Source organism: Homo sapiens, chromosome 19 (assembly GCF_000001405.40).
Source record: "Homo sapiens chromosome 19, GRCh38.p14 Primary Assembly".
NCBI lineage: Eukaryota > Metazoa > Chordata > Mammalia > Primates > Hominidae > Homo > Homo sapiens.
This window is the reverse complement of record NC_000019.10, coordinates 58,540,501-58,558,951: the sequence shown is the minus strand read 5'-3', so window position 1 is coordinate 58,558,951 and position 18,451 is coordinate 58,540,501. Positions and strand designations below refer to the sequence as shown.

The 18,451-nt window shown below is 58.1% G+C and overlaps 3 protein-coding genes, 1 non-coding gene and 1 pseudogene across 7 annotated transcripts, besides 9 other annotated features; 3 read left to right on the top strand and 2 right to left on the bottom strand.

Annotated features, from left to right (window-relative positions):
• Positions 117 to 416: a silencer, noted in NCBI's record as "silent region_11094". NCBI's record gives its function as "represses an Ori minimal core promoter by ATAC-STARR-seq in GM12878 lymphoblastoid cells {active_cell/tissue: GM12878}" and the evidence as "EXISTENCE:reporter gene assay evidence [ECO:0000049][PMID:35858748]".
• UBE2M (ubiquitin conjugating enzyme E2 M) lies at positions 341 to 3,240 on the top strand. The gene is made up of 6 exons (NM_003969.4): positions 341 to 679; positions 1,795 to 1,889; positions 2,022 to 2,060; positions 2,162 to 2,265; positions 2,573 to 2,636; positions 2,723 to 3,240. Exons 1-6 carry the CDS (start codon positions 571 to 573, stop codon positions 2,861 to 2,863), a joined length of 552 nt encoding a protein of 183 aa, NP_003960.1. The 5' UTR covers positions 341 to 570; the 3' UTR covers positions 2,864 to 3,240.
• Positions 2,541 to 3,224: an enhancer, noted in NCBI's record as "H3K27ac-H3K4me1 hESC enhancer chr19:59067095-59067778 (GRCh37/hg19 assembly coordinates)". NCBI's record gives its function as "activates a minimal SCP1, AML or CMV promoter by ChIP-STARR-seq in primed H9 embryonic stem cells {active_cell/tissue: H9 hESC(primed)}" and the evidence as "EXISTENCE:reporter gene assay evidence [ECO:0000049][PMID:30033119]".
• Positions 3,619 to 3,688: an enhancer, noted in NCBI's record as "active region_15210". NCBI's record gives its function as "activates an Ori minimal core promoter by ATAC-STARR-seq in GM12878 lymphoblastoid cells {active_cell/tissue: GM12878}" and the evidence as "EXISTENCE:reporter gene assay evidence [ECO:0000049][PMID:35858748]".
• Positions 3,759 to 3,848: an enhancer, noted in NCBI's record as "active region_15209". NCBI's record gives its function as "activates an Ori minimal core promoter by ATAC-STARR-seq in GM12878 lymphoblastoid cells {active_cell/tissue: GM12878}" and the evidence as "EXISTENCE:reporter gene assay evidence [ECO:0000049][PMID:35858748]".
• CHMP2A (charged multivesicular body protein 2A) lies at positions 3,847 to 7,386 on the top strand. 4 transcript variants are annotated; one of them, NM_014453.4, is made up of 6 exons: positions 3,847 to 3,964; positions 4,716 to 4,907; positions 6,514 to 6,693; positions 6,767 to 6,897; positions 6,985 to 7,046; positions 7,176 to 7,386. In NM_014453.4, the coding sequence occupies exons 2-6, from the start codon at positions 4,740 to 4,742 to the stop codon at positions 7,301 to 7,303; spliced, it is 669 nt and encodes a 222-aa protein (NP_055268.1). In that variant the 5' UTR covers positions 3,847 to 3,964; positions 4,716 to 4,739; the 3' UTR covers positions 7,304 to 7,386. The 4 variants fall into 4 exon arrangements, with proteins under 4 accessions (NP_055268.1, NP_940818.1, XP_005258803.1 ...); NM_198426.3 differs by having other exon boundaries at positions 3,847 to 4,087; XM_005258746.3 differs by having other exon boundaries at positions 6,985 to 7,386.
• Positions 8,237 to 14,888, bottom strand: TRIM28 (tripartite motif containing 28). Its single transcript, NM_005762.3, has 17 exons — positions 13,855 to 14,888; positions 13,415 to 13,527; positions 13,056 to 13,188; positions 11,441 to 11,576; positions 11,239 to 11,355; positions 11,046 to 11,160; positions 10,772 to 10,918; positions 10,544 to 10,658; positions 10,360 to 10,466; positions 10,176 to 10,212; positions 10,042 to 10,090; positions 9,712 to 9,964; positions 9,302 to 9,621; positions 9,092 to 9,215; positions 8,917 to 9,003; positions 8,668 to 8,805; positions 8,237 to 8,575 (listed from the first exon to the last, which is right to left on the bottom strand). The coding sequence occupies exons 1-17, from the start codon at positions 14,192 to 14,194 to the stop codon at positions 8,399 to 8,401; spliced, it is 2,508 nt and encodes an 835-aa protein (NP_005753.1). The 5' UTR covers positions 14,195 to 14,888; the 3' UTR covers positions 8,237 to 8,398.
• On the bottom strand, positions 8,576 to 8,667 carry MIR6807 (microRNA 6807). The gene has a single exon (NR_106865.1). It is a non-coding gene; the product is annotated as a microRNA 6807 (primary transcript).
• Positions 13,868 to 14,157: a silencer, noted in NCBI's record as "silent region_11093". NCBI's record gives its function as "represses an Ori minimal core promoter by ATAC-STARR-seq in GM12878 lymphoblastoid cells {active_cell/tissue: GM12878}" and the evidence as "EXISTENCE:reporter gene assay evidence [ECO:0000049][PMID:35858748]".
• Positions 14,178 to 14,337: a silencer, noted in NCBI's record as "silent region_11092". NCBI's record gives its function as "represses an Ori minimal core promoter by ATAC-STARR-seq in GM12878 lymphoblastoid cells {active_cell/tissue: GM12878}" and the evidence as "EXISTENCE:reporter gene assay evidence [ECO:0000049][PMID:35858748]".
• Positions 14,418 to 14,627: a silencer, noted in NCBI's record as "silent region_11091". NCBI's record gives its function as "represses an Ori minimal core promoter by ATAC-STARR-seq in GM12878 lymphoblastoid cells {active_cell/tissue: GM12878}" and the evidence as "EXISTENCE:reporter gene assay evidence [ECO:0000049][PMID:35858748]".
• Positions 14,748 to 15,057: an enhancer, noted in NCBI's record as "active region_15208". NCBI's record gives its function as "activates an Ori minimal core promoter by ATAC-STARR-seq in GM12878 lymphoblastoid cells {active_cell/tissue: GM12878}" and the evidence as "EXISTENCE:reporter gene assay evidence [ECO:0000049][PMID:35858748]".
• Positions 15,209 to 15,713: an enhancer, noted in NCBI's record as "H3K27ac hESC enhancer chr19:59054606-59055110 (GRCh37/hg19 assembly coordinates)". NCBI's record gives its function as "activates a minimal SCP1, AML or CMV promoter by ChIP-STARR-seq in primed H9 embryonic stem cells {active_cell/tissue: H9 hESC(primed)}" and the evidence as "EXISTENCE:reporter gene assay evidence [ECO:0000049][PMID:30033119]".
• RN7SL525P (RNA, 7SL, cytoplasmic 525, pseudogene) lies at positions 15,374 to 15,653 on the top strand (annotated as a pseudogene).

Below are 18,451 nucleotides of genomic sequence, written 5' to 3'. Positions count from 1 at the left end.
AAGAGCCAAAGCGGGCAGGCGGCGGAAATATCCGAAGCGGCGGGGCGCCCGAGGCCGTTGCCGACCTCCGCGCTAAAGCCGCTGCTGCCGCGGAAGACGATCCTCCAGTACCCGCCCGCCGTCACCGCAGCTGCCGTGTCCTCCTCCCACCCCTAGCCGCACCCCCTCGCGGAGGGATCAGCTGAGCGGCCAAACGGCACGGTCGGGGGAGCCCCGAGTCCGCAGCTGCAGCGGGGCCTGAGACCAGAGTTGGCGAGGGCAAGGAAGGAGCGGCCCCGGGCAGTGGGGGCGGGGCCGGGCGGGCCCGAGAACAGCCGAATTTGGCCGAGCGCTGCCGAGCGAGTCCGAGGCGCTGGGCCAGGCCGGAGCCGGACTACGGGAGCCGAGGCGGGCCGCGCGGTGGGCGCGGAGAGGAGCGGAGCGGCGCGGCAGGCCGGGCGGGTGGCGGCAGCAGCGGAGGAGGCCGCAGCTGCGGGTCCGAGGAGCGGAGGCGACGCGGGCGGCGGCGGGGGGCCGGGTGGCCGGGGTCCCGGGCCCCGCGGCGGCGGCAGCGGCGGCGGCGGCGGCAGGATGATCAAGCTGTTCTCGCTGAAGCAGCAGAAGAAGGAGGAGGAGTCGGCGGGCGGCACCAAGGGCAGCAGCAAGAAGGCGTCGGCGGCGCAGCTGCGGATCCAGAAGGGTAGGGGGTCAGGGGATGGGGTTGGAGCCGGAGGTCGGAGGTCAGGGCCTGAGGCAGGGTGATGTGGGAGTCAGGAAGGGGTAATGCGGTTGCTGAGGGTCAGAGGTGAAGGGCCCCGAGCGTGGGGGGGGTCGGAGGTCAAGTCTTGAGGGTTGGGATCATGCAGTCACGGGGAGGGGGTCAGAGATAGGGGCCCGGTATGTGGTGGTTTAGGATATTAGGAAGGCCTGGTGTCTGCTACTAGGGACTCGGAATCTCAGAGTCAGGCAGTGGAGTGGAGGAACTGACGACTCGAGAGTCTGGGGGTTAGACGGGAACTTGGGTTTGGGGTGACAGGCGGAGAAGAGAGGGATAGTAGAGGCCAGGGGTTGGGGATATGAGTGGAAGAGGATTTAGTTTATTATGCTGGGGTCTCTGGGAATCTCTGAGTCAAACGGGTGAAGTAGGTTGGAGGACCAGGGACTCATGGGCCTGCCTGAGTCACAGCAATTTGGGGTTTGGGGTGACAGGTGGAGGAGGGAAGGTTAATGAGTACCAGGGATTGGAGACAGGGGTGAGGGGAAATTTAGGCTATTGTGCTGTGAACCTCAGAGTCAGAGGGGGTGGGGTAGGGTGGCGGGGGTTGGGGACTTGAGAGTGTGGGGGTCACATGGAAAGCTGGGTCTGAGAGACAGAGAAGAGGAAGGACAGTGAGGACTGAGGGTTGGTGGGGGTGGGCAGGATCTTTGAGTTTGGGTGAACAGGTAGATACTGTAGAGTGGAGGTCATGGATGGGGAGCCTGGGGTTTAGGGCGGTCAGAGGATGTTTGGGAGTGGGGGCATTTGGGAGCTGTGGATACAGAAAAGTTGGGGGTCACCCTGGGCCAGGAGTTGGGACACGCATACACAGCTGAACATGCATGTTTGGGGTATGCTGTGTATCCACAAGAGCCAAGCTGGGGAGCAGGGAGAGGGCTGGAGGTGTGGAGCACAGCCCAGGAGAGGCGCCTGGGGGTCCAGGAGGAGACGATGGGGGCTCTGCTAACAAACACCCGCCCTAAGTGTCCTGCTGGCTCCCTCTCTCTCTCTCTTCCCCTCCCTCTTTCTGTTCCCGACTCTCTGCTACCCAAACCCAGACATAAACGAGCTGAACCTGCCCAAGACGTGTGATATCAGCTTCTCAGATCCAGACGACCTCCTCAACTTCAAGCTGGTCATCTGTCCTGATGAGGTGAGGGTGCATATGGCTGAATTCCCAGGAGCAAACCAAGGGTGTCCCCACTGAGAGGAGGGAGACATGTTCTGCCCATCGGGCCCCACAGGATGGAACCCTAAAATTTTCTTCTCCCCCTTTTCCTCCCAGGGCTTCTACAAGAGTGGGAAGTTTGTGTTCAGTTTTAAGGTGAGTCCCAGGCGGGCAGGGATGGCTCCCTGGACAGAGGAGGCAGCAGCTGAGGCCCTTCCAGGCACCTACCCATCTCTCTTTTCTTTTCCTGGAGCCAGGTGGGCCAGGGTTACCCGCATGATCCCCCCAAGGTGAAGTGTGAGACAATGGTCTATCACCCCAACATTGACCTCGAGGGCAACGTCTGCCTCAACATCCTCAGGTGAGGACACTGGCCCTCTAATGCCCTCCTCAGCGCTGCCTGCCAGGCCTCCCTCATGGTCTTGTGGGCACTACATCAGACTCTGTCCCTTCCCACCCCTTTGTTGTCTGTGGTTTCTTGATTTCCCAGTCATCTTCCTCATGGCCTGACCTTGGTTTTCTCCTTGGCCTGTCCTGCTCCACACCCTCCCTCCCAGCCTCTCACATGCTCACTCTCCTATGCCCTGGATCTGACCTGCCCAACACCAGAGGGGCCTGTGGCAGTCTCCCACTCACCAAGCCCTGACCCTGATGCTCTCTGTCCACAGAGAGGACTGGAAGCCAGTCCTTACGATAAACTCCATAATTTATGGCCTGCAGTATCTCTTCTTGGTGAGTAGGAATAGGTGGTTGGGTCTGGGGAGATTGGCCTTCTGTCCCTCTGGCCTGTTGACCCCCCCTACCTGTACTGGCCACAGGAGCCCAACCCCGAGGACCCACTGAACAAGGAGGCCGCAGAGGTCCTGCAGAACAACCGGCGGCTGTTTGAGCAGAACGTGCAGCGCTCCATGCGGGGTGGCTACATCGGCTCCACCTACTTTGAGCGCTGCCTGAAATAGGGTTGGCGCATACCCACCCCCGCCACGGCCACAAGCCCTGGCATCCCCTGCAAATATTTATTGGGGGCCATGGGTAGGGGTTTGGGGGGCGGCCGGTGGGGGAATCCCCTGCCTTGGCCTTGCCTCCCCTTCCTGCCACGTGCCCCTAGTTATTTTTTTTTTTTTAACACCATGTGATTAAGGTCGGCGCTGCCTCCCCCGACCCACTCAGCGATGGGAAATGAATTGGCTTGTCTAGCCCCCCTGCTGGGTGCTTGTTCAGCCCCCACTCTGGGCTGTGGAGTGGGTGGGCAACGGGCCTGGGTAGCTGGGCCCAGGCAACCCACCCCTCCACCTCTGGAGGTCCCACCAGGCTATTAAAGGGGAATGTTACTGCATGGCCTCTGCTTCTTACTTCTATGGGGTGGGAGGGGCAGCTGAGGTCCATTAGGGCCTGCAAAGCTGGGGTGGTGGAAGGTGTGGTCACAGGTGGCATTGGAGCACCCTACAACAGGCTGCCCAGTGCCTGGGGCAGCTCTAAAGTTGGTGGGGATACCATGACTGTGCCTGGGGTTGGTTGGGATGAAGCCTACTCTAGGATGAGAAGCGTAGGCAGGATCCAGTGACCTGTGGCTTCCTGGCCAAGAGGCCAGCAAAGTGGAAGAAACAAGCCATCTCTAGCTTTGCCCCTTTCTTGTGTGGGTGGGCCCACCGAGGAGGAGGAGCCTTCTGAGGCTCCTTCTATCTGAGGCCTCAGGCAGAAGTCAAGGTCTCACGAATAAGCTGGGTCCTCAAGTGGAGGTTGGGTGGAAAGCGCCCACCCCGGTACTGGCTTGGGTCACTCGGGCGGGACTCAAAACATGAAACACTCGGACGCGCAGAGGAAACGGGAGCTGTTGCGCATGCGCTCGGACGCTGGCCCGTTCCGGGGCACGGGCGCACGCGCGCTCCTGGAGTTTCCCAACCTTCCGGGTGCGGGCGGGGCATGTTACGTCACGTCGTTTAATCCGGAAACGGCGGCGGCGGCGACAGGACCGAGGGGCCTTAGTTGGTGGGCAAGTCGGGGATCCCAGAAAGAGAAGCGTGACCCGGAAGCGGAAACGGGTGTCCGTCCCAGCTCCGGTGAGTGGCCCCTGCTGGACCGTGGATCCCGGGCGGGCGTGCGGGCGGCAGCGTACGAGGCCTTCTACTCGCCCGGGTGTCCGGTGCCTCGCTTCTCCCTGGGACCCTGTCGTCAACATCGAGGTCTCCAACACCACCTTGCTTTGGTGCCGGGCCCACTGACTGTCCTCGGTGTATAGTGCGACCGAATCTCCATCATCCCGTCCTCAGTGTACAGGATGCCCCAGCGCCCCCAACCGTCTCCCTCAGCATTCAGGGTCCCCAAATCCTAATGCCTTGTCCTGAGCTTCACAGCCCCACATTCACCTGTTCTTGGTACTTAGCGTTTCCGCCCATCCTGTCCTCCTCTATCAGAACCCCCACAATTGCTCTGTCCTCGGTGCCCACAGTCTCCAAAACACCAGTGCACCGGCCCGCGTCATCCCCCGCTCTCAGTCGTATCAAGGACTCCAGGGCCTCACCCATAGTTCTGGAGAGGGAAGCTGAACTTGCAAGCCATAACTTCTTTTGGGGCATGGCGATGAAGGAGGGGCTCGGGCCAGCACTTGGATAATTTTCAGGTCTACCTGTCCCCCTTTATGTGTCCCCGGGACAATCCCAGTGTTCTCAGCTGCTCCCTTTTGGCTCCTCATTCCTGCCTCCAGTCTCCGTTAGCCCCTTCCCATTTGGCAAGGCTCCCGTGACCCTGTTCTGCTTCTTGCCCTCCTGGGCCCCATGCCCTACAACTGGGCCTCACTCACATCTGTCTCAGGCCTGCCAGTGAGCTTCTACCATCATGGACCTATTGTTCGGGCGCCGGAAGACGCCAGAGGAGCTACTGCGGCAGAACCAGAGGGCCCTGAACCGTGCCATGCGGGAGCTGGACCGCGAGCGACAGAAACTAGAGACCCAGGAGAAGAAAATCATTGCAGACATTAAGAAGATGGCCAAGCAAGGCCAGATGGTGAGTGTGGGTGGTCGGGCAGGTTGCTGTCAATCAGGCACGGCTCTAACAGCAGTGAACAAGAGAGACCAGACACCAAACACAGGTGCTTTCAGCAAAACGAGTGGAGTGAAAGGTCAGCAGGGCTTCCCTAGTTTGAGGGTCTGGAAGGCTGCCTCCAAGGAACTGGTATGAGATCCAAGGCTTGAGTGATGAGAGTGAGCCTACAGATCTGGGCAGGGAATGTGTTAAGCAGACAGAGCAGCAAATGTTAAAAAAGAGCCTCAAAAAAATGGGAGATGACAGGTGAGCTTCAAGAGTTGGGCATGGACCAGACAATTCAGAACTCTGGGCCAAAGTGGGAGCTAAGTTGGAAGGTTAGGGATTACAGGGCCGGGCGCAGTAGCTCAGAGACCTGTAATCCCAGCACTTTGGGAGGCAGAGGTGGTTGGATCACCTGAGGTCAGGACTTCGAGACCAGCCTGACCAACACAGAGTAACCCCGTCTCTACTGAAAATAAAAAAAACTAGCCAGGCATGGTGGCGCACGCCTGTAATCCCAGCTACTCAGCAGGGCTGAGGCAGGACAATCTCTTGAACCCAGGAGGCGGAGGTTACAGTGAGCCAAGATCATGCCACTGCACTCCAGCCTGGGTGACAGAGCGAGACTCTGTCTCAAAAAAAAAAAAAAAAACCAGTTAACTATAAGGATAAGCTGGCCCGGCATGATGGCTCAAGCCTGTAATCCCAGCACTTTGGGAGGCTGAGGTGGGTGGATCACCTGAGGTCAGGATTTCGAGACCAGCCTGGCCAACATGGCAAAACCCCACTCTACCAAAAATTAGCCGGGCATGGTGGTGCATACTTGTTATCCCAGCTATTCGAGAGGCTGAGGCAGAAGAATCGCTTGAGGCCGGGAGGCACAGTTTGCAGTGAGCCAAGATTGTGCCACTGCACTCCAGCCTAGGCAACAAAGCAAGACTCCAACTCAAAAAAAAAAAAAAGGTAAGGGTAAGCTATAAGCTATGGCCAAGAGGCTGGTAAGAGACAGCCGGAACCAGTAGGGAGAGCATGAAGAAGGAACACAGCCTTTGATGGGTGAGAGGGTTTTGGCCTGAACAGGTAGGCAGAGAAGATACCATTTCTTGGGATGGGCAAGAAAGATGTTTGGAGAGGAAATCAAAAGCTGAGCCTCAGATAGGTCTGTATGTGATTCTGGATAGTTCGAGGTATGGGTTTGTATCAGGTGAAGGAAGAGACAGATTCTTTGTCTAGGCTGGGAATAAAAATTGAGGAATGGCTGTTGTAAGTCAAAAGAATGACTGAAAACATGGAGGGAAAAGGAACCCTCAGGAGTGAGCCTGGGGCCTTTCTTTTACCATTTACAGATCAAGAGAAGTGAGGAGGACCTTACAAAGGAGCCCAGGGAGTTGGTGGCCCAAGAGGCAGAGGAGGGTTAGGTCAGAAGGAGGGAGGGACCAGTGACCATTGGGTTAGCCAGAGTCTCTGGAAACTTCAAGTGGAATTGCAAATTGGGCTGGTGGGGAGGGACAACCAACTAATGGGGTGTCAAGAAGTGTAGGATAATCTCATTCCTGTGTCCTTGATACCCTTGTCTACTCTGCAGGATGCTGTTCGCATCATGGCAAAAGACTTGGTGCGCACCCGGCGCTATGTGCGCAAGTTTGTATTGATGCGGGCCAACATCCAGGCTGTGTCCCTCAAGATCCAGACACTCAAGTCCAACAACTCGATGGCACAAGCCATGAAGGGTGTCACCAAGGCCATGGGCACCATGAACAGACAGGTGCGCTTTTCCCAATCCCCCTTCCCACTCCCACGACCCATGGGGATCACACTCACACTCCTGTCACTTCCAGCTGAAGTTGCCCCAGATCCAGAAGATCATGATGGAGTTTGAGCGGCAGGCAGAGATCATGGATATGAAGGAGGAGATGATGAATGATGCCATTGATGATGCCATGGGTGATGAGGAAGATGAAGAGGAGAGGTATGGGGAAACTGGATGGGAGGGTGGAGATGTTTGCCTGGCCCTCACGGAGTGCATAGCCCTCACTGAGTTCTCTCTCTTCCCTAGTGATGCTGTGGTGTCCCAGGTTCTGGATGAGCTGGGACTTAGCCTAACAGATGAGCTGTCGAGTGAGTGCTCCAAATCCTGGACCCCATTTCCCACCCAAGGCCCAGCCACAGCTCCAAGCCCTCCCTTTCCCTGCATTACTCCCCTCCGCTGCCTGACCCCACCTGCTCAAACCCCCACTTTCTCTGCAGACCTCCCCTCAACTGGGGGCTCGCTTAGTGTGGCTGCTGGTGGGAAAAAAGCAGAGGCCGCAGCCTCAGCCCTAGCTGATGCTGATGCAGACCTGGAGGAACGGCTTAAGAACCTGCGGAGGGACTGAGTGCCCCTGCCACTCCGAGATAACCAGTGGATGCCCAGGATCTTTTACCACAACCCCTCTGTAATAAAAGAGATTTGACACTAGTCTCCAGGCCCATGTGACTTTTGGCCTGATGTGGGACCAGACTGGGGTCCCTGGGAGGATGGGCATCACTAAGGCAAGAGGCACTTGGTACTAAGCTAAGGGTGGGGGTTTGGGGCAGGGGTGAACAAGCAAAGTCCACCTGGGATTTTCAGGAGCTGGGAGCTTCAGGTGAGCTGTGGGCCCTTCTCCATCACCTCTCCCAAGATACTGGACTGCCCAAACACCCTGGTAGGATCTTGAGAGTCCAGGCCTCATCTGCCAGGCTGTAGTGTCCAACACTGTTTGGTCCAGTGATGGTTTAATGACAACACTCAAGGACAGTCCAGACCAACCAATAGAGGCAAGGGGGTGGCCTTGGGATTCACACAGGCTCGACTGTAGAGTAACTAAATCATAACACAGAGATGAATGATAATGTTAAGTGGACTCAGCAAAGGGAGACAGGGAAAAAAACCACATCTGGAAGGTCTCAGTTCACTGTGGGACCTTCTGAAGATGAGAAACAGCTACAGCACCAAAATTTAGGAAGCATTCAGTAGAGTGGCTGTGCTACACCTGGGGCTAACCCTGCCTACACAGGGATGTAGGTCACACCTACCCAGTATCCCACAGGGTACCCAACAAGCCTCTAGTGTGTACATCCTTTGCCCTGGGTGACCCTCCCCATACCCAGAAAGGGCAAGGAGGCAGTCTTCCCCACTCCCTAGGCATCCATACACATGGGCTTCGATAGGTGGGGGACAAGACCCCCCTCCCTTGTGCCACCAGTGCTTGATAAGGCTGACTAGTAGATACAGTCAATAAACCAGGCCCCAGGACCACAGTCCCCCAACCAGCCAACGCCTGAGGAACTGGTGAAGTTTTTATTAAATCCACAGAAGTAAAAACCATATCGTGAGGAACTGGGGGATGGGGCCACCAGGGAGTGGGAGTCAGGCCACCAGGGGAGTGGGGATGGGGTGACAGGACAGAGAACAGAGCCAGGCTGGGCTGGCCATGGGGGCTCCAGCCTCAGGGGCCATCACCAGGGCCACCAGACAGCTCCTGGGAACTCAGGCCAGCACCAGGCAGGCTCATCGGCGGGGGCTCCACCAGCACAGCAGAGAACTTGGTGTCACCGAAGGCCTCGTTCATGCGCGTCTCGAAGAAGCGCTGCAGGCCGATGATGGACTGCACGTCTGCCTTGTCCTGGGCCAAGCAGGAATGCAGTGGATGAATGGGTCCTAGTTCTTTCCTTCACATCTCCCCCTGCCCACAGCCTCTCCATTCCACTGGCTCACCTCAGTTAACTTGTTGAATTGCTTGAACATGCGGCCCACATCCTGGGCAAACTCCTGTGGGGAGCTGTAGGGAGGTGACAACTTCTCCTGGAGGCGGGCACGGATCAGGGTCAGATCCAGGGTGCCACCGGGCTGGTCCTGCAGGCAGAGATCACACATACACACACAAAGACACACATATACATGCACAGGTTGAGGGCGAGACCCAGCAGCCACCACCCCCTTCCCCTTTCCCATCCTAGGACTCACCAGGGAGAAGGTGGAGTCGGTAGCCAGCTGATGCAGGGGGCGGCAGGGTTCGTGACAGAATAGGGCCAGCAGTACACGCTCACATTTCTACAAACATTGTAAGGGATGTCACAGCTCTGGGCAGCACCTATAAAGCCTCTCTGGGCAACCCCACCTAAGTAACCCCAGCCCTCACCCGCTGGTTGGCTGGTGAGAGCTTGGCCACCACGCCAGTGCTGTCTGCACCATCCAGGCTGAGGCTGCCATCCTCCTCCTTCAGGTCAGGGAGCACATGGCAGAGTGAGCAGCTCCACTCCTCCCTAGGGTGAAGAAAATAAGGGTCTGCACATGATCCTGTCCAGACAGCCCAACACCCAGACTTGACCCCCACCAGCCTCACACTCACCCTGGTACATCCTGCAGGGCCGGCAGGTGACAGTCCAGGTGGAAACAAAACTCACACTGGTTGCACATAACCAGATCGCCTGGCTTCTGGCAGACACGGCAAATGGTGGCACTGTCATCCAGGGTTCCCGGGCCACCACCTGGGGCTGAGGTACCCTCAGGAGCCACCACCTCCAGCCCTGAGCTGGTGCTGCCACTAGGTGAGGCCAGGCGGGGACCCTCAGCACCAGGACCCTCCGCAAGAGCCATAAGCACAGGTTTGGTCTCAGGGCCCTCAGTGGCAGTAGGAGGGGCTCCAATGGCAGCCTCCGTCTCCTCCTCCTGCAAGGTGGTGATGAGGGGTGTTCAACAGGGTCCAGACCTGGACTACAGGCTTCATCCTACAGCTATAGTTCCTTGGGACAGGCTTACCTTGACAATGGCCATGCCAGCCAGGGGTGGGGCACCAGGGGTTCCTGCAGGCGCAGTCCCTGGCTGGCCGGTAGCTGCAGCGGCAGCGCCACGTTCAATAACAATAAGGTTGTAGTCCTCAGTGGTACTGCCTGGGAAGACCTTGAAGACGGGTGGCTGGCTGTCAGCTGTGAGGTCCAGGTCCAGGCGTTCAAGGCTCACTCGTGGCACCTTGCGCATAAGGCCGCTCACCTCGCCCTCACCTGAGCGGGACCTGTAGATGCAGCAACCTGGCATGAGTACACCCCCACCCTCCATCCACCTCACCCCCAGGGGAGGTGCCATACTTACCGTTTCACACCTGACACATGGGGCTCTGCACTTGAGTAGGGATCATCTCCTTAGAAAATGGAGAAAGAAGACTGGCAGGTTGGGGTAGAAACAGCACTGGGGCCCTTCCCCACCCACTAGGCAGACCCACTCACCTGACCCAAAGCCATAGCCTTCCTGCACCTCCATGGGCTGTGAACAAAGCAGAACCCTCTGCCTCAGTGGGACAGGAACCCTACTGGACCCCATTCCCTGCCCACCCCCCCTGCCTGGGTCCTCTCTCCTGCTACTGGACCCCATTCCCTGCCCACCCCTTCCTGGGTCCTCTCTCCTGCTCACCTGGCTGCTGCCAGAGCCCTGCTTGCTCAGGGGCCCTGGGGCTCTTGGAGGGGCCATGGGTGCAGGGCCTGTTGAGTTAGTGCCAGGACGCTCTGCCACAATCTTGCCTGCAAAAAGAAGAGAGAAACGTAAGTAGGTGCAGCACGTGGGGTAATAACAGAGTGAGGTAAAGCTGGGGACCCACCAAAGGCCTCGGCACTCTTGGTCCAGGCATTGAGGTCCCACTGAAACTTCATCTCGCCATGTGGCTCCACGGGATCCACAATCATCTTGAGGGCCCGGTGCAGCTGGAAGTAGATCTGGTTGGGAGTGAAAGGGAGGAAAGAATGAGCACACCAACAACAAATAGGGATTTGAGGTATTGGGAACCACCTGCCTGGAACCCACCAGCCAGGAGCCCACCAGTACACACCAACTTCTTAGAAAGCAAAAGGGCTGTGTTGTTGTCACTCTCCAGAGCCCAAGAGGCAAAGCGCAGAATGTGCTCCTGGTGCTTCTGGATCTTGGTCATGGTCCAGTGCTGCCGCTCCAGGCGCTCCTGCTGCCCCTCAGTCACCTTCTGCAGATAGAAGGTGTATGAGGTAAGCAGAGAAGGCAGAAGAATACTAGGATCACTCCTCACCCCAGACAGCATCATCAATCAGCAGAGGGGGCTCAGGGACCCTTCTCACCGGCACAAGGCTTACCTGGGCATCATTGACCAGCACACGGCCCCGCTTATTCAGCTCCTTCATGATCTGCAGGATGGCCATCTTGACATCCACTTGCACACGCTTCTGTACGTCAGACACCTGGCGGATTCTAGGGGACACAGCAGGTCAGGCTAGGTAGGGTCTTGCTGCCCTGGGCCACCCCCACAGCCCCAGAACCCACACTTACGAGCTGCGAACCTCCTTGGTGCTCTTCTGCAATGTTGCATGTTTGTCCCCAAGGCGCTTCACCAGTGAGGCCAGGAGCTTGCGCTGGTTCCTCACTGCATCCTCTAAGAACTGGTACCTGAGAGCAGACAGATGTGTTCCTGAGCACTAAGCTACGGAAGGGGTGGCACCCACCCACCCAACCACTATGCCTTGGGACTCACTGGTGGTCCTTGTGGGCATTGAGCTGGCAGTCTCGGCAGGTGAGAGTATCACAGCTCTCACAAAACAGCACAAGGGGTTCATGCTTGTGTACGTTGCAATAGACAGTACGTTCACCATCCCGAGACTTGGCTGGCCCTGGGGAGTGGGAATCATAAGGCTGGACCTTGCCCTTCACCACCCCCAACTCAGGAAGCAGAATGAGTTGGGGCCTCATTTCCGGCCTGTTCTGTGACACTGGGCCATTTATTGGGAAGATGTAGAGGGTGTGGCCAGGGAAGAACACAGGCCTGCAAGCCCAACTCCTTGCTCCCAGAATCCTCTGCCCCAACATAGCTGAGAAACACATCCCTTTCTTCTAGCTTCTAGAGATAACAACAATGTAAGGGTAAGGATAACAGCGTCTAGAAAAAGAGGACCACCCCACCCCACCCCCCACCCCCGCTGACCCTTCCCCACACTGTTCCCTTTACTGAACACTTCTCCAAGTGGACATACTCAGAATTCTGCCTACACACCACCCTGGATTCCTTTTCTTCTCCTTTCATGGTTAACTTCCTCCCTCTTCCCTGACAAGAGAACACCAGGGTCTCTTACAATCCAAGGGCCCAGAGGAAACCTTGTAGAGGTTCTCATACTGGGAGAGATGAAATGTCAAACCAGGACCCTCAGAATGGTGGTCACACCCCCTCTAGAGCAGAATCTTGGTGCTCAGCATAATCCCACCCAAAGACCAACCCATTAATAACCTCCAAAGCCTGTCTCCCCATTAGAAAACTGATCAAACACACTGGTCCCACATACCAACCAAATCCAAAATATGTAGCATCAGGGCTCATTGGGGAAACTGACTTCCCCAATGCCACTCATTCCTGCACCCTGACCTTTGCCTGGGACGTCTGGAATGTAGGACACCCTGCAGCCCCTGCGTATCCCTCCTGGCTGCTCAGGCCCCACAGCCACCACCTTCCCGCTATCTTCCACCAATGCTGTCCTCTGGGATGGGAAGAATCACAGTATGGCTACCAAAAGGCCACTCATGGGAGGATTCTGGCCCCAAAACTTGGCTAGACTCAAAAGACTCTCAAGCTCCTTCCAAACCAAAGCTAGCTGTGTCTGTGAAAAGCTGGAAATGCCAAACCAAACTTTGGGTAAGTCTCTGCCAACTCAAAAGCTAAAACACTTCCAAAAATCATCATCACTTATAATCCATGGACCCACAGTCTACTTTCCCTAGCAGCATCTTATACCAGATGTGTGCCAGGGAACCACAAACCCAGAAAGCCCTTCACACCATGCCTTTCCCTGTTTGCATATGCTGAGCCCTTCACCACCAGGTCTGACAACTCCCTGATAAGCCTTCTCAAACCCTTTGTACCTCCCTGCAGCACATTAAGGTCTCCCTTATTTCCCCTTCCCACCCTCTCCCACCTAGGCCCTAGAGACTACACACCACAACCCCAGTTTTTCTGCTTCTGGAGTTCTGCCCTCGGGCCCTTCGGGCGGCACCCCCTAGAGAACTCTAGGACCCATCCACCAGATGCAACCAACATCATAAAAGCAACTGAGGGCACACATGGGAGAACAACTCCAACAGCCCCCCTCAGCCTCATGTACCAGTAGAGCGCACAGTATGGTCCTTGGTGTACTTCACCCGCTGGTGCGCCTCTACACAGGTCTCACACAGAGGCTCCGAGCACTCCACACAGTAGCTGGTGGCTGGGGCATTATCCTCACAGCTAGTGCAGCACTGCCAGACAAAGGCAGGGTCAGAGAAGGCAAGACAACTTGATAGATCCACGTTTACATCCCAGAAAATACAACCGGAGATTTAAGATTGGTCCCTTGACCCAACCTAGGCAGCCCACCCAGAGCCTTGGGAAAGTGGAGTAACAGCCTGGAGCTGGTGCCAAGCTCCTCCTGCGCAGATGCCCCCTCCCCAGAAACCTCCTTGTGGTTGCTGAGATAGGACGCACCTGGTTCGCATCCTGGGCGTCGGTGGCAGCCTTGCTGCCACTATCACGCATGAAATAATTCTCCACGATGTCTTTGGAGAAGCACTGTTGCTTGCACACGGGACAGTCCACCACTTCGAGAAGCAGGGATGTGGGAGACTGTTACAAGTTCCCACCCAGGTTATGGCCCCCACCATTCCCCTGCTGGGTGGGCCCCCGACCATTATCCCGCAGCGAACCAGCCCCTCCCCTCCCCGAGCCTTCTTTTCTCCAACTTTAGTCAGATGTCCCATCTCAGCGGCCAGCACAAACCCACGTTCGTATGCAGGACCCAGAAAGTATTTCCCGTGCCCTGTCCGGGCCCCCATCCTCTCGCCCAGGTGGCATCCTCATCTCTGCACCCAGTCGGAATCAAAGGCAGAGAGTAGGGGGAGGGGTGGCACCGATCACTTCGTACTTACCGGTGCCGTCGCCCGCCGCCCCGCCGTCCCCCGAGCTGTTGGCGGCGGCGGGGGCCGCGGGCCCTAAGCAGGCACTACAGGCCGAGTGCAAACAGGGCAGCAGGCGGGGCTCCCTCTCGGGTCGCAGGCGCTCTCTGCACACGCCGCAGTGCTCCAGCAGCTCCAGCGCCTCGGCGCCGCCCCCCGCGGGCGACGACGCCGCGGCTGAGGCAGAGGCCGAGGCTGCGGCCGAAGGGGCGGTGGAGCGCTTTTCGCCGCCAGCGGAGCCCTCGCCCGGGCCCGGGCTGCCAGAGGCGGCCGAGGCCGCTGCTGCCGAGGCTGCCGCCGCGGAGGCCGCCATTCACACGCCGCCGGGGGCGCCCAGGGGGGGAGGAGGGGCGCGGGGCCCGCCGCGCAGGCGCAGACGCGCTCGCCGCCAACTGCTGGGCCGCTGCCGCCGCCGCCGCCGCGAGGCCGAGCGCCGCCACGCGCCTCCTGGGCCGCTGCCCGCCGCGCGCGGGACGCTGCTACGGCACGGCCAACTGCTGCCTGCTCGCCTCCCGAAGGCGCCGCCCGCGCTTCTTCCTCAGCCGCCGCCGAAACCCGCACCACGCGCCACAAGCACAAGCACAACCGCTCGCCCGCGCGCCCGCTCGCAGAAAGAGCCGAGGCCGGGGGGCGGGACAGAAATAACTGGCGCCGACGCCGCCGCGCACGCGCATTGGGCGCCTCACGCCCGGGGGCGGGGCCCAGGCCGGTCGGTGCGGGAGAGGCCGCCAGTACGCACGCGCCAACTCCTAGTCCTTCCACCACCGCCAACCCCACGTCGGTGGGGCTCTTGTGGGGGCGGGGCGGGGCCTCTGTGACGTCACTGCCGCAATTGAATCCGCCAGTGGGGTATGCGAACCTTTATAGAGTGTGATTCCCCTCTCAGCTCCACCTCCAGACCACACAGAAGCGGGCCGCTGTGCGCCCAAGCGCATGGGCAATCCGTCCCTCTTCCTCAACCCGCGTCTCTTCGCCGCCGTAGAGTCGTCTCCAGCCTCTGCGTCACTAAGAGTTCGGGATAGGGGGCAGGGCCGATGGAGAAGTAGGCGGGGCCAAGACCGAGTGAAGGGCTGTGTCCAGGGAGAGGGGAGGAGAGTCTCCATCCCAAGAGGGAGGAAGCTCCTGTGTGAGCTCGGGTGCTGACTTTTGGATTTTAACCACGCTATAGTTAAACTTGAGAAACACAGAAACTTGACTGAATCAAATGTAGATCACAGCCGGGCGCCGTGGCTCATACCTGTAATCCCACCACTTTCTTAGGCGAGTCGGGAAGCTCCGTTTAGCCCAGGAGGCCGAGGCAGCAGTGAGGCGGGATTGTGCCACTGCACGCCAGCCTAGACCACAGATGGAGAAAAATGTGGCCGGGCGCGGCGGCTCACGCCTGTAATTCCAGCACTTTGGGAGGTCGAGGCGGTTGGATCTTAAGTCAGGAGTTCGAGAGCAGCCTGGCCAACGTGGTGAAACCCCGTCTCTACTAAAAGTACAAAAAGTAGCCGGGCGTGGTGGCAGGCGCCTGTAATCCCAGCTACTCGGGAGGCTGAGGCAGGAGAATCGCTTGAACCCGGGAGGCGGAGGTTGCAGTGAGCCGAGATCGTGCCATTGCACTACAGCCTGGGAGAAAAGAGTGAAACTCCATCTCAAAAGAGGAGAGAAAGGTTTTTGTGTTTGTTTTGAGACGGAGTTTTGCTCTGTTGCCCAGGCTGGAGTGCAGTGGCACGATCTCGGCTCGCTGCAACCTCCGCCTCCCGGGTTCAAGCGATTCTTCTGCCTCAGCCTCCCGAGTAGCTGGGATTACAGGGGCCTGCCATCACGCCTGGCTAATTTTTGTATTTTTAATAGAGACGGGGTTTCACCACGTTGGCCAGGCTGGTCTCGAACTCCCGACGTCAGATGATAGACCCACTTTGGCCTCCCAAAGTGCTGGAATTACAGGTGTGAGCCACCACGCCGGGCCCCCCAACCCCCCATCAAGAAAAAAAATATATATATATATATACACATATATATAAATCACAAGAGGCTAAAGAGCAATGAGTCTGTGAAATCCCACCCAGCCCCCCAAGGCATCCCCTCCCCATGTTTTCGTCAGCAGCTACCCTGACTTTGATGCTTTTCCAGATGGGGAAACTGAACCTCAACAGTGGGGAATCCCAAGGAGGGAAGGAAGCAGGTCCATGTGGGGAGAATCCTGTCTGAGGTGGAAAGTAGGGTTTGTGTGGGGAAAATCCTGTCTGAGGGAAAGAGGGTGTGTGTGCGGAGGGGAACCCTGTCTGAGGAGGGAAGCAGGGTCTGTGTGGGGAGAATCCTGTCTGAGGAGGGAAGCAGCGTCTGTGTGGGGAGAATCCTGTCTGAGGAGGGAAGCAGGGTGTGTGTGGGGAGAATCCTGTCTGAGGAGGGAAGCAGGGTGTGTGTGGGGAGAATCCTGTCTGAGGAGGGAAGCAGGTTCTGTGTGGGGAGAATCCTGCCTGAGGAGGGAAGCAGGGTCTGAGTGGGGAGAATCCTGTCTGAGGGAAGCAGGGTCTGTGTGGGGAGAATCCTGTCTGAGGAGGAAAGTAGGGTGTGTGTGGGGAAAATCCTGTCTGAGGGAAAGAGGGTCTGTGTGGGGAGGGGAGCCCTGTCTGAGGAGGGAAGCAGGGTCTGTGTGGGGAGAATCCTGTCTGAGGAGGGAAGCAGGGTGTGTGTGGGGAGAATCCTGTCTGAGGAGGGAAGCAGGGTGTATGTGGGGAGAATCCTGTCTGAGGAGGGAAGCAGGGTGTGTGGGGGGAAAATCCTGTCTGAGGGAAAGAGGGTCTGTGTGGGGAGGGGAATCCCTGTCTGAGGAGGGAAGCAGGGTCTGTGTGGGGAGAATCCTGTCTGAGGAGGGAAGCAGGGTGTGTGTGGGGAGAATCCTGTCTGAGGAGGGAAGCAGGGTGTGTGGGGTGAGAATCCTGTCTGAGGAGGGAAGCAGGGTCTGTGTGGGGAGAATCCTGTCTGAGGAGGGAAGCAGGGTCTGTGTGGGGAGAATCCTGTCTGAGGAGGGAAGCAGGGTCTGTGTGGGGAGAATCCTGCCTGAGGAGGGAAGCAGGGTCTGTGTGGGGAGAATCCTGTCTGAGGGAAGCAGGGTCTGTGTGGGGAGAATCCTGTCTGAGGAGGAAAGTAGGGTTTGTGTGGGGAAAATCCTGTCTGAGGGAAAGAGGGTCTGTGTGGGGAGGGGAGCCCTGTCTGAGGAGGGAAGCAGGGTCTGTGTGGGGAGAATCCTGTCTGAGGAGGGAAGCAGGGTGTGTGTGGGGAAAATCCTGTCTGAGGAGGGAAGCAGGGTCTGTGTGGGGAGAATCCTGTCTGAGGGAAGCGGGGTGTGTGTGGGGAGAATCCTGTCTGAGGAGGGAAGCAGGGTGTGTGTGGGGAGAATCCTGTCTGAGGAGGGAAGCAGGGTGTGTGTGGGGAGAATCCTGTCTGAGGAGGGAAGCAGGGTGTGTGTGAGGAGAATCCTGTCTGAGGAGGGAAGCAGGGTCTCTGTGGGGAGAATCCTGTCTGAGGAGGGAAGCAGGGTGTGTGTGGGGAGAATCCTGTCTGAGGAGGGAAGCAGGGTGTGTGTGGAGAGAATCCTGTCTGAGGAGGGAAGCAGGGTGTGTGGGGGGAGAATCCTGTCTGAGGAGGGAAGCAGGGTGTGTGGGGGGAGCCCTGTCTGAGGAGGGAAGCAGGGTGTGTGTGGGGAGAATCCTGTCTGAGGAGGGAAGCAGGGTGTGTGGGGGGAGAATCCTGTCTGAGGAGGGAAGCAGGGTGTGGGGGGAGAATCCTGTCTGAGGAGGGAAGCAGGGTCTGTGTGGGGAGAATCCTGTCTGAGGAGGGAAGCAGGGTGTGTGTGGGGAGAATCCTGTATGAGGAGGGAAGCAGGGTGTGTGGGGGGAGCTTCCTGTCTGAGGAGGGAAGCAGGGTGTGTGGGGGGAGAATCCTGTCTGAGGAGGGAAGCAGGGTGTGTGGGGGGAGAATCCTGTCTGAGGAAGGAAGCAGGGTGTGTGTGGGGAGCATCCTGTCTGAGGAGGGAAGCAGGGTGTGTGGGGGGAGAATCCTGTCTGAGGAGGGAAGCAGGGTGTGTGTGGGGAGAATCCTGTCTGAGGAGGGAAGCAGGGTGTGTGGGGTGAGAATCCTGTCTGAGGAGGGAAGCAGGGTCTGTGTGGGGAGAATCCTGTCTGAGGAGGGAAGCAGGGTCTGTGTGGGGAGAATCCTGTCTGAGGAGGGAAGCAGGGTCTGTGTGGGGAGAATCCTGCCTGAGGAGGGAAGCAGGGTCTGTGTGGGGAGAATCCTGTCTGAGGGAAGCAGGGTCTGTGTGGAGAGAATCCTGTCTGAGGAGGAAAGTAGGGTTTGTGTGGGGAAAATCCTGTCTGAGGAGGGAAGCAGGATGTGTGGGGGGAGAATCCTGTCTGAGGAGGGAAGCAGGGTGTGTGTGGGGAGAATCCTGTATGAGGAGGGAAGCAGGGTGTGTGGGGGGAGAATCCTGTCTGAGGTGGGAAGCAGGGTGTGTGGGGGGAGAATCCTGTCTGAGGAGGGAAGCAGGGTGTGTGGGGGGAGCATCCTGTCTGAGGAGGGAAGT

Bases quoted from the DNA above. Each gene is read 5' to 3' on its own strand.
- TRIM28 (NM_005762.3), bottom strand. From the start codon at position 14,194: ATGGCGGCCTCCGCGGCGGCAGCCTCGGCAGCAGCGGCCTCGGCCGCC. The intron at 13,528-13,854 runs GTAAGTACGAAG...TGCTTCTCGAAG, and splicing joins GGCGGCGGGCGACGGCACCG to TGGTGGACTGTCCCGTGTGC. The intron at 10,091-10,175 runs GTGAGTGGGTCT...CCATTTTCTAAG, and splicing joins AGGCTATGGCTTTGGGTCAG to GAGATGATCCCTACTCAAGT.
- CHMP2A (XM_005258746.3), top strand. From the start codon at position 4,740: ATGGACCTATTGTTCGGGCGCCGGAAGACGCCAGAGGAGCTACTGCGG. The intron at 4,908-6,513 runs GTGAGTGTGGGT...TCTACTCTGCAG, and splicing joins TGGCCAAGCAAGGCCAGATG to GATGCTGTTCGCATCATGGC. The intron at 6,694-6,766 runs GTGCGCTTTTCC...TGTCACTTCCAG, and splicing joins TGGGCACCATGAACAGACAG to CTGAAGTTGCCCCAGATCCA.
- UBE2M (NM_003969.4), top strand. From the start codon at position 571: ATGATCAAGCTGTTCTCGCTGAAGCAGCAGAAGAAGGAGGAGGAGTCG. The intron at 2,266-2,572 runs GTGAGGACACTG...CTCTGTCCACAG, and splicing joins GTCTGCCTCAACATCCTCAG to AGAGGACTGGAAGCCAGTCC. The intron at 2,637-2,722 runs GTGAGTAGGAAT...TACTGGCCACAG, and splicing joins GCCTGCAGTATCTCTTCTTG to GAGCCCAACCCCGAGGACCC.